The sequence below is a fragment of the Homo sapiens genome, chromosome 11 (assembly GCF_000001405.40).
Source record: "Homo sapiens chromosome 11, GRCh38.p14 Primary Assembly".
NCBI lineage: Eukaryota > Metazoa > Chordata > Mammalia > Primates > Hominidae > Homo > Homo sapiens.
Window position 1 is genome coordinate 119,886,702 of NC_000011.10, and position 11,951 is coordinate 119,898,652.

The window sequence follows — 11,951 nt, forward strand, 5'->3', positions numbered from 1 at the left end:
TCACAGATGCCCCTCTTTGTCCTCACCCATTTCCTGCAGGGCTGCCATCCATGGGGTGACCCAATCAGACAACCCCAGTGCTGGTGGCTCCTGAACACTGGGGCTGGTCTTAGAGCATGAGGTGTGTGGTGAGGGTGCCAGGTGGGAGGTGGGCAGGGGAGTGCCGGGGGACTTCCTACAAACCTGCTCCTCAGCTTTTCTGTCATTTAGCACCTCTGGTCCTCCTGGCCTCCCCAGGCCATGCCCAGGCCGAGACACAGCTACTCCTCCCCACTCTACCAGCAGCCTGCAGCCTCCGTCCATGCCCTGGGCTGGCGGCGGGAGAAAGCGCTGTCAGATCTCATCATGTCAGTGCTCCAGCTAGAACTCCAGCTGGGCCGAGTGACCTTGTAGGTTTTGAGGAACACGGGCAGCTGGGAAACAGAGGAATGGACTGGCCAAATTTGTACCATCTTCCCAGCTGGAGGGAGGTGGGAGCCGGGCCTCTTCTGAGCTCCAGCTCCTCCGTCTCACAGTTGCTGTTTGGGTCTGTCCCTTCAGCAACCTGGCCACAGCTGGGTGTGAGATTAGACTTTAGCGTGGCTTTTCTCATTCTGCGAGCTCCAAGGAATTCATTATCAAGGAAAGAGGGGATTTCTTCTCCAGGGTAAAGAAGGTTCTAGCTCCTCGTGGAGCCTGTGTTCTCCGATGAGTGGCTGAAAAACCACAATTCATCTCTACCGAGCACTTTGCAGTTGTAAATGCATGATCTCTCTGGAGCTTCACAGTATACTCACAAGAGAGGAACATTCAGCTGTTTTTATTACAGTGGAGGAACCAGAAGCCCAGGGATGGTTACATGAACTGTCCAAGCCAATGCCACTGGGCACCAGCAGAGAGGGGACCCAGAGCCAACCTGGCTGACTCCATAACCAGATGAAGACTTTCCCCTGAAGGTTATTTCTAATGGTGAGATCATTTCCTTGCCTTTCTCTTCCTCCCTCCCTCCAGCTCATCGATTGTGGGTAGCCTAGAAAACAAAGTCAAGATTTTGGCTTAATCTCATCGAGGTCAACTTCCTGAAAAAGGTGGGTTGAAGGCAGTGCAACAGGCAGGAACCCTGACTGGGGCAACTGTCAGGGATCCATCAGGACATGCCCCAGGGTAGCTTTTGATTATCATGGAGGACCCTTCCCCAGCTCTTGGTGTCTGTATCTTGGCAAATCATCTTCCTTGTCCCCATCCCTTTGCTGTCTTGGCAGCAGAAGGGATTTCAGTTCGACTTTGGGAAGAACATCCCTGCTCTCCCTTTGAGAAGAATCTTGGACAGGTTCCTATTCTTTCAGGGATACCACAGTGTGGTCAGGTTGCTACTTCTTGACACTGCGTTTGGGTTAAGCCCGTTCCACTCCTGTCTTTTGTTTTTGCTTTTTCCCCTAATCGTCTATAGACTTCCCTGGTGCAGAGCAATCACCCTATGGAGCATGGCCCTGAAGCTGAGGGGTGCAGTGGAGGCCATGTTCGGGGTCGGTGGTGACATAATCCTGGAAAAGCTCCATCTGTCATCTCTGGCCTTTTACTGTTGTAACAGCACTTATGGTCCCAGCCAACTGCTGAGGAATCTGTCTGTGGTTTAATTAGCCTATAACTCCAGCCTCCCCTACCATGCAAGAAAGCAATAAACAGCTTCCGTCCTCTTAGAGGGACTGGGAAGTCACAGCAGGGGGAGCTCCATGGGGCCTGAGGCCAACAAGGTCTTTGAGGACAAATGAAGGACTTGGGGACCCACAGGGGACTCTTGGCTCATGCCTCCTTTCTCTGCTTGGGCCGTGGGAGGCCAGCCAGTGGACCTCAAATGAAAAATAGCAAAAGTAGCAAAACAACCCCTCATGTTTACAAAGAGCCTCTCATCCATCAGGAGCGTTCTAAGACAAGATCTCAGTAGGAGCCACTGCGGACCTTGGTTTATTCTTATATAAATGAGGCCATTGGGCTCAAGGATTCCTGAAGTCTCTTCTCCGACCAGACTTTTTGTGGGTTCCATGGTCCTAATAGAATTCTGGTGATGTGATGACACCTGGAGCTGGTGTCATTAGCCTCATCTTAGAGTTAAGAATGCCAAGGAGCAGAGAGGGAAGTGACAAGCCACAGCCCATTCAGCGAGTCCTGCCAGAGCCAGACCCAGACCCTGGTGAGGTGGGTGGTGGAAGGAGATGGACCCTGATGTCTGTCTTCTTAGCTCAAGGAGATGGAGGTGGGAGGATGGGGGCCAGAGGCCCTGTAGCTCTTCCCCTGATCCATTTTGAGGAAGGGTCTATCCTATCACCCTGCAAGAGCGGGAGGCTGGGGAGCTTATCTGGTGATGGTGGGGCATCTGGTCCCCACATGTGCAGACCAGGATCCATGCCTGAGCCTCTCCACTAGCATACCTACTCCAAGAACGTGGTCTATTTTGTTTCCTGTGGTATCCCCAGTGCCTAGAACAGTATCTGGCATAAGATGGTACCCAAGTAATGCTCGTCATTGAATGACTGAGAGACAAGTCTAGGCCCCTGGGATGCCAGGGCCCCCATTCCCCACACCCTGATCCTCTCTGCAAGTCCAGACACATGAGCAGTGTAAGCATTGCTAGCCGGGCACTGGGCCACAAAGGTTTCCGAGATCCAGAGAAAATCCTCCCCTGCTTGGCTCCCCACTTTTTTCTGGTTGCATCTGAGCACCCCCTGACTTTCTGCCCCTTTCCCTCACCTTACCCAGTCCCCTCAGTGTGTGATGGATGTCCTGCCAGGGACAGAGGGTTCGATCTGGATTTCCAATCTCCTCTGGATGCACCAACGCCAAAATACAATACACAATTACAGGGACACGATACATTAGTGATCACTGAGAGAAAGAAGCCCCTTTTAGGCAGCAACGCCAACGGCTGTGTCTAAACTTATGGATACAGTCAGCTCAGAGTCCCTCCAGTCCCCGGGCAGGAAGTGAGCAGTCTCCAATACCCCATACCCATCCTCCCTCTGGGAGTCCTTCCAGGCTCCAGAGCCTCAGTTACCTCTACCTCTCCCATGTAGCCAGCACCATTCTGTCCCTTGGGGTTTTCTCCCTCTGGCTATAGCAGAGGACTTGGTCTCCCAGCACCTACTCTGTGCTGCCTTCCAAGCATGTACAAAAGCCCTTTTCCTTCCAAGGGACCATCTACTGGGCCATTTAGGGAACAGAGGGGGGGTGACAGATCCCACAAGATAAGAGACAATCATGTGGGCTGCCACCTGCACCTGCGAGTCACCATCCCTGGCCTTCACTTCTTGCCTCCACGGTCACCACTGTTTGCCCTGCTGGCCACTGGCTTCTCTTTCACCCCAGATACCCAGAGGCCTGGAAACACAATCTGGGCAGTACAGGAAATGCAACTGCCCTCCCTGTCTCTAGGGCCGGACCAGCTCCAGACGGCCTCCTGCCTGGGCTGCATCTGTCTGCACAGGGTGCACCAAAGAGAGGATCACCCCCTCCTCTCCAGAGTTTTGAAAGCTAGGATTCAGGATCAGGATCTGTAAGCCCCTAAAATTACATGACAACTTGGTGTCTATGTGTATCTGCACTTTTTCTGGAAAGAGGTTTTCATAGCCTTCAGATTCTCAAAGTCCTTTAGAACAAAAAAAGGTGGTCCATGCCTACAAGGGTGGTGACAAGAGCCGAGTGGGTGTGGGGGCTGAGCTTGCTGAAATAGTAAATAGGAGTTTGGAAGTTTATTTTATTGCCTTAAGCCCGGAATTACATTTTCTTTGCATGTGGATGAGTCTGCTTTTCTGGTTTGCCAAATAGGTTGACCATTGATGTCCAGGTGAACACACAGAGTTAGCCCAGCCCAGACCACGGCATAAACCCAGGGTGTAATTCAGCCCCAGAACAACCCCCAGGGCAGGGGCCAAACACCTTTAAAGCAGAGCCCAAGCTATCGCAGCCACCCAACCTGAACACTCAGTGCGCAGCTGACAGCCAGCTGGACGTGGGGCTGAGTGACCTCAAGCCTAGGCTGAGGGTCCCTCAGAACACAGCCCCTTCCCTCAAACCCTTGGGGTATTGGAAGAGACTCCGCTGAGGCCCACTCCCAGCTACCAGGTGAGGACTCCAGGCACCTTGCTTGTGATCAGGCCTCCAATCTCTGCATATTCCAGGAACATGAGTCTGAGCTTGCTCGTCTCACTGAGAAAGCACGCAGGCCAGGAGACCAAGAAGCAGGTGGGAGGTAGGTGATAAATATCACAGCCCCTCAGCCTGCTGAGACCGTATGACCTTTGTTGAATCACCTAATCTACTTGGCTAATTATGCCCATTTCCCCTTCTCTCTTTTCCTCTTACTTTTCCTTCCTTGTCACAACGTGGTACTTCAGAAACTCTCTCGGAGGAATTTCAAGGAGCTGGCTGGGTCTCTGTGGAACACATTGCATTATCTCATTACGATCTCGCCTGGTGATCGGATTCCGTTAGCTGACTCTCTTTATTAGCAGGCAAAAGCAAACTTATGAAATGCCTTTAAACCTGGATTTCCTTAACAATCTATCACTGGGGAACTGACAGCTCTCGCTCGCTTCCCTCTGCCAGAAAGAATTAAGATTGTTCCTAATTTAATCTCTCTTCCGCATCGAAGGCGGATATTTGTGTTTCAGCAGCAAACTTGTATTAAAGGCTCTTGGGTAGGAGGCTTTGGATCGTCACAGACTAACTCTGATAGGTGTCTGTGTGCCTTCGTGCAGATGGGGCTGGCCCTGGCTTCAGGGGCCCTGGGCAGAGGCTCCCAGATGCTGCCCTTGATGAAACTTGCAGCCCTGTGGCCCTGCTGGGAAAAGATAAGAGGGCAGATTTGAGAATCACTGGCTTTGTAGTGTCAGCGTAAGGGTGTTGGGGGATGGCTGAGGCTGTCACAGACACTGCCCATTGTACAGCTGTCTGGCACGTCGGCCCTCTAGCTTTCTACAAGTCAGAATCACCAGGCTGCTCTTGACAGCATTCCAGCTGAGCTGTGCCCTGGCTGTACTCCCATGGGCATGGTGCAGGGATGTTGGTACCCCCCCAAGTCCCCTTTGCTGGATGGGTGCAGCCCATCCCCCAGCCCCTGTGTGTGTTGGCCACTAAAGCCCCCAGCTGCCCCTTCTCTGGATAATTCACCTGAGCTGAGTAGGAGCTGCCTGCCATCAGAGGCTAGCTACATGCCTTCTCAGTTCCCTTGCCCTAAGCCAACAGCTGATGACCGACTAACAGACAGTAGGGAAAAAAGACCGGGCCCCTTGCCTCAAGGTGAGCCTGACCTTGTGGTATCATTTGTGCTCCTAAGCTCCCGGTGGATTGAGACTGAAGCTGATCTCGGGCCCAGACCACATCCTTATTTCCTTCCTTCTCCCCATTTCTCCTGAGAACGCTTCTCCAGCAACACTTTCACGAATGTCTGCTTCTGGGATATGGTTGCCCTTGGGCTGCTTGGGCTTCTGGGCTCTGATGTGCCTCCCTCTGGGTCAGATTGGGCATGGAGGGACTTGCTGTGGACAGTCGAGGCTGGTGGTACCCTGCAGTCAGCCGTGAGCAGTAGCCTGGCCCCACAGGCTGCTTCCTGAGGACCTGGCACTTCCTGAGAACCCCCACACACCCACCCACCATGGAAAGGTTTGGCTGTGGGTGCCTGCCTGGGACACCCCCCATCCTTACTTGTGGAGCACATAAGCTGCTCTCCGACACTGCTCTGAACCATGGCCTCTTAGACACGCATCACCCCAACCAGGACTGTGGAGCCTGACGTGGCGCTCCCTGCCAAGCACATCACGTCCCCTCCAGGCACTCTGCACGGAGATTTGGGTGGCTGCAGATGAGGGGGAAAGAGCTGTGTTGGAAAATCCTATTATCTAGCCAGGCCCCCACTGTTAGCCCATGCATGAAACCAATTTACAAAGTGTGAGTCAAAAGCCTCCAAGGACCGCCTGTTCTTGCGGGAGCCCAGCAATCACCCTGCCCGCGGGCCTCTGCAGACGCAATGCCGTCTGCGCTCCGTCCACTGAAAAGCTCTGCTCAGAGATGTCAGTCAGTGCCCTGGGCCGGCCACCCCCCTGCTCTGCTGGATGTCGGGAGAATGTATTACTGAGAGAGAAGAGAAACACTCTGAATGGAGCATGATTATTTTCAGATCTCCATTTTGCTGATGGCTTGAGCAAGCCCAGGTGAGACTCCTCGGGTTACAGAGGTTTTCTGAAGGTCATACTGTCTGTCCATCTTCTGTCGCCGGGTGCAGGCAGGGGCGAGGAGGCTCGGACCATAGTTGTAACTGGGGCAAGGCACTTAACCTCCTCTGAGCCTGGGCTTCCTTTTCTATAAAAGGAAAACACCTGCAGAGGGCTAGCAGGGCTCCATGAGATGACGCACACAGAAGTGCCCACCACACAGTAGGCCCTCAACACATGTTTATTATCATTTTTGCCTGAAACACAATAGTTTCTACAAGGGTCCCAGGAAGGAGATGCTTCTGTTTTCTTTGTAGAATAATCTTACGTGTCTTAGCCTGTGTAACAGGCAAGAAAGTTCTCTGATCTATCCAAAGTGTCGCTTATGGAAAAAGAAATTACTCTGTCTCAGAAGAGACCTGTTACTACTAGCTAACACTGACCGAGTACTGCCTGTGTGCCAGGCACTGTGCTGGGTATTTTACACACATTTAACTGTTTAAGCCTCACTACGACCCTGGGTGCTGGATACTGTTATTATACCTGTTTCACAGATGGAGAAACTGACAAACAGAAATTGCCCCAAATCACACAGCTAGTAAGTGAAGATGGGATACAAGTACGATGTAGAAGATGTTAACAGAGGGACACCATGAGATGCTTATCTCAAATTCAGTCACCCAGCGTGTGAGACCAGAGTTGGGGATTCTCTGCTCTGCTTCATCTAGGGAAGCTGCGGCTGGAGAAGTGGGCCCACCCTCTCCTCACACCTTCGTCCCCCTCCTCCTGGCTCCCCATATCAGATTTGAACAGAAATTGGGCCACTCCATCTTTGACATTAGCCTCCTCCTCAAATGTCCCAGCAGGCTGGGGAGAGCCTCAGAGATGGGAGCCGGCTTGGGCCTACAAATCTCGCCTTCCTGCCCAAACCGGGGTTCAGCCCACTAGGCCATTTTCATCCAGCGGGTCAAAAAGGGCATTGCCAAGGCTTCTCTTCCCCCGATCTCCTGCTTCTAGGTGTCCTGTTTCTCAGTGGACAGTGTTGATCCAACCAACTACAGAAGTCTGTCCTCCATTTCCCAGGGACAGGGGTTCTGGTCCCTTCCAGGGGCAATGAGAGTGACCTCTAGGTCTTAGTGTGAAGGATCCTGGAGGTCACACAGAACACAGCAATGACATGTGTGGGCTCTTGAGTCAAGTCAATGTTTGTATGTACTGGGACCTCACTTTCCTCACCTGTAAAATGGGGAGTTGGGGGGATTTAATGTGTACAATGCAGTGGCTAAAATAGGTTAAATAATGGCTACTACAGTGGCTAGACCCAAAATTAAAATTTGCCTTTCCTGTTTGGATCATCTGGAAAATTCACTTTTTTTTTTTTTTCTTGAGACAGAGTCTCACTTTGTCATCCAGGCAGGAGTGCAGCAGTGGCACGATCTCAGCTCACTACAACCTCCACTTCCTAGGTTCACGTGATTCTCCTGCCTCAGCCTCCTATGGAGCTGTGATTACAGGTGCCCACCACCACACCTGGCTAAGTTCTATATTTTGAGTAGAGATGGGGATTTCACCATGTTGGCCGGGCTGGTCTCAAACTCCTGACCTCAAGTGATTCACCCACCTCGGCCTCCCAAAGTGCTGGGATTACAGGCATAAGCCACTGCACCTAGTCTCACATTTCTACTCAAAGCAGTCGTAAGGTTCAGTGAATCAATGTGAGGGCTTTGTCTCTCAGCTTGATCTACAAGTTTTTGACAAACCAGAGGTGAGCGGAAAGGAGAAAGAAGCTGAGGTGAGCAGGCAGGTGTGGGTAGGGATGGCCAAGAGGACCATGAAGCCAAGCCGGTTATTTGTCTCCAGGTGAGCCTGGGGAGCCCAGAGCTCATTAGAAGCCCTTGATCAGCTAGCAGTGGACGCAGCCTGGTTAGACAACTAGGCCCTCTCTAACGGGGCCTCCAGGGGGCTGCACCACCCTGAGTGGAGGGTATCCTCTGGTCACGGGTACTCCGTCTCGTCCTATGTGGCAGTCTGCAGAGTGTCAGCACTGGTCCTTCCCAGCCCCACCCCGACCCTTGTGGGGTAGGGTGATGGTGGAGAGCCCTCAGGCACTACAGAGAGAACTGGGCTGTCTGTAACCTCCAGGCACCATGGACCATGCTTCAGAATCCCCAGGACCTGAAAACCTGCCCTCTCCATGGGACGCACAGGACCACGTCATCAGTGGGTGACAGATGCTCCCAAAGAGATCCTGCACCCCTTCTATGACCAGATAGGGCTCCACTAGCCCTTACCTGGTGCTCTGCCCCCAGAGCTGGGCACCAGCCCCTTTTCTACCGTAAGGGTCCTCAATGTAGCCCCTTCACCCTGGCAAAACTCCAGCATGGGTCTGATAGACTCTCTCCTGAAAGTATTTCCTGACCAGGACAGACACTGGGAGCCCACCTGTCGATGAGCCAGCCAGCCCTGGTGAACTTCCAAGGGTCACTGAGGGCCCTCCAGACCGTACGAAGTGTCCATTCTCTATGAAAGGGGCCTTTCAGCCCCACAGACAAGAAGGTCCCTGCACATGTGGAAAGCACTGTGGACCCAACGAAGGCTTCCACAGGAAGGCAAGCGGGAGTCCTTCCTGCCTCCAGGTCTTGGCTTGGAGGAAGGAGAATGGCAGAGAAGAGATCACAGGGCTGGTCCTGCCTCGAATAGTGTTGTGAGTCTTTCTGAGCTGAGTTTAGAGGCAGCAGTTCAGAAGGAACTACAGTTTCCCTCCTCCTGCGCAGGCCCACAGGGGTGCTCACAGGCCAACAACCTGCGCCACTGGTTGGAATCACCCGGGAGCTTTCCAGAACCCTAATGCCTGGAGTCCTACCCAGAAATTCTCATTTTGATTGGAATGAGGTGTGGCCTGGGCACTGAGATTTTTAAAGGCTCCGATCTAAAATTTTTTAAAGATTTTTAATCTTCAGCCAAGTTTGAGAACCCTGGAGTCCACATGCACATAGAGACAGCAATGGCCCCAGATTCTGGCTTTGTAACGGTGTCTCCATCGTCTCAAATGCTGTCCTCAACTTCCCCAAATAGTTTTAACATAGCTTACATCAAAAGAAAATATTTATTATAAGATTATTTGGGAAGATATTGAGAAATTAGGCAAAGAATGAAAGGTATAGTAGAGAATTCCTTCATGATAATTAAGTCTATGATTAATTGTACTCAGCTGTGGGCTGATGTCTCTAGAGGGTGGAGTTAAAGGTCCGTTCATCAGTGGTCTGAAGCAACTTACCACTCTACATCCTTGAGGCCTGGGAAAACCACAGACTTCTTAACTTTTTACTTTGAAACAATTATAGATACACAGGAAGTTACAAAAATAGTAAGAAGAGGCCCCACATACCCTCTCCCAGTGGTAACATTTCATATAACTATATTTGATATCAAAACTAGGAAGTTAACATGGATGCAATCCACAGACCTTACTAAATTCCAAGACTTTTTGTTGACCTTTAATTCCTTGGTTTTTATTTATTCATTCATTCAAAAAACTTTTATGGAGTCACTGGCATAATAGTTATCAAAGTGTGTTCTGCAGAGAACCTATATCAGATTTACCCAAGAAACTTACTAAAAATGCAAATTCCTAAGCCTCAGTCTCAGACCTATTGAGTCAGACCACATGGGGGTGGAGCTGGCAGGTGGCGCGGGGTGGGGGTCAGTGTTTTAACAAGTTTCCCAGGTGATTCTTAGGTTCACAAAAGTTAGAAAGCCACTAAACCGCTGGCCAGCAGGCATGGGCTCAGCACGAGAAATACACTTAAGAAAGACTGGTTGCTGCCCTCACCGGAGACAGATACAAATAGCAACAACAAGGCTGGAATCAAGTCATGAACAAACACAGTAAGACACTCGGGAAATATCTAATCTCCTGGGGTGAATGGGGAGGAGTTTTGGAGGCTGAGCATATTAGAGTTGGGTTTTGACAGGTAAGTAGGAGTTTGATAGTTGGGCAAGAGAATAAAATCTCAACCATAGCTTTAATATCTGGTCTCCCTCTACCTTTGAAGCAAAATTTCTGAGATGTAATCTCCTTAATGGCGAGGAGTCCTATTCATCTGTGTGTCCCCAACACGATGAATAGGACTGAGATTTTAAAAGGCTCCAGGCCACATTAATCTTCAGCCAAGTTTGAGAACCACTGGAGTCCACACACACATAGAGACAGCAATGGCTCCAGATTCTGGCTTTGTAACAGTGAGCCTGGTACACTGAAGGGGCTCGATAAACATTTGATGAATGAAAGCGTGAGAACTATGTTGGCTGGCAGGTTGGTTGGCTACATGCAGAATGGAAGGATGGTGGGGGAATGGTTGGCTGGAGAGATGAATGAGTAAATGAGTTCCTATGTGCTGTGGAGGCAAGGAGAGCTTGGCTGGGAGAGGGTGGATTCCTGGCCATAAAGGACTCCAGCAGTTCTTTCCCAAGGCCTCAAGGGAAGAGCTAGAACCCATTGTGAGAAAATGCAGCAGGGCTGTGTATACAACATTCTCTTCCTGTACAGTTAAGCCCCAAACACTTCGAGGTCCCATGGAGCCAGCTGACTGAATTTGAGCTAAGTGGCCTTTACCCTGGGGGGAAAAAGAAAAAGACATTTACCCCGAAAGTCCTCTCCTGCTCTCTTCAGAAGTATATTAATTTTATAATGTCAGAGACAGAACCGTAAACTCTCCTTCTTAGAGGATTGTTGCCAGAACCCTTCTTGCTGAGGAGCACTGAGCCGCTCCGCTCCGGCCCCCATGAGCAGCAGAGAGGGTGGGAATCAGCTATTTGACAAGTGAGGCTTGCAAAGGTCACTCCTGCTGGGGGGCTGGCCCTGGAAGGAGCAGAGAAGCCCTGCTCACTCTTTCTTTCCTGCCTCTCCCTTGCTCGGCCTCGGAAGTGGTGAGGACTGCCTCCAGGTTCCTGTACCAGACCAGAAGATCCTGGGAAGAGCTTCTAAAATCTAGCATTCTCTTCAAAGATGGGCTGGTATGTATGGTGTGTCTGCCTGGAGGCAGAGGAGTGATTGCAGAAGATGTCCTGCCAGAGGAGGTCAAAGTGCGGTCTTTGGTGGGCCACCTGCAACTTAGCCACGGGGGGTGCTTCTGAAAATGCAGACGACCAGCCCTCATCTTCAGTCCTGATGAATCAGTTGCGGAAACCCCAAATCTGTTTTTTTTTTTTTTGTAATGTTTCTCAAGTAGGCATCCTGAAGTTTGAGAACTATGCTCTAAGGAAATTGTTTCCCCAAGGCTGTATCTAAACAGTCCCAGCTCCAGCTGGCAGTGATAGGAGGCAGCTGAGGTTTATTTTTTCTATTTTTACCCACCTTCTAAACACTAAGAGGCAGCTGAGGTTTAAAGGCAAAGATGCTGGTAGTGAGGCTTGAATGCCCCTTAACCTTTATAAGACTATTTATTCATCAATAAAATTGGGGTTAATAACCTCTATCTCAGAGGGCTGTATGCAGATTAAAGGGAAGTTCCAAGCATAGTGACTGGTGCCCAGGGGTCCCTTAATGTTTGCTGAGATTGGGTCAGGCATAAAAAGAAGTGTTGGTCCCAATGCCTGTGTGTAGGGCCTGAAAGAAATAGAATAAACTTAAGGAAATTTACACTGTGGCCCCTTGAAATTTGTAATCTATGTTACACGTGTTTTCAACTTCCCAGTTGAGCTCTTTTTATGGATTCTTTTCTGTAAGTGTACACAACAACATAAAGCCTTTAGGCCAAATCTGTC

General features: G+C 50.7%; 2 annotated features.

Annotated features, from left to right (window-relative positions):
- Positions 221 to 720: an enhancer, noted in NCBI's record as "H3K4me1 hESC enhancer chr11:119757631-119758130 (GRCh37/hg19 assembly coordinates)". NCBI's record gives its function as "activates a minimal SCP1, AML or CMV promoter by ChIP-STARR-seq in naive H9 embryonic stem cells {active_cell/tissue: H9 hESC(naive)}" and the evidence as "EXISTENCE:reporter gene assay evidence [ECO:0000049][PMID:30033119]".
- Positions 2,320 to 6,248: an enhancer, noted in NCBI's record as "VISTA enhancer hs1915". NCBI's record gives its function as "enhancer in: midbrain (mesencephalon)[6/9] | heart[4/9]" and the evidence as "EXISTENCE:transgenic organism evidence [ECO:0001131][PMID:17130149]".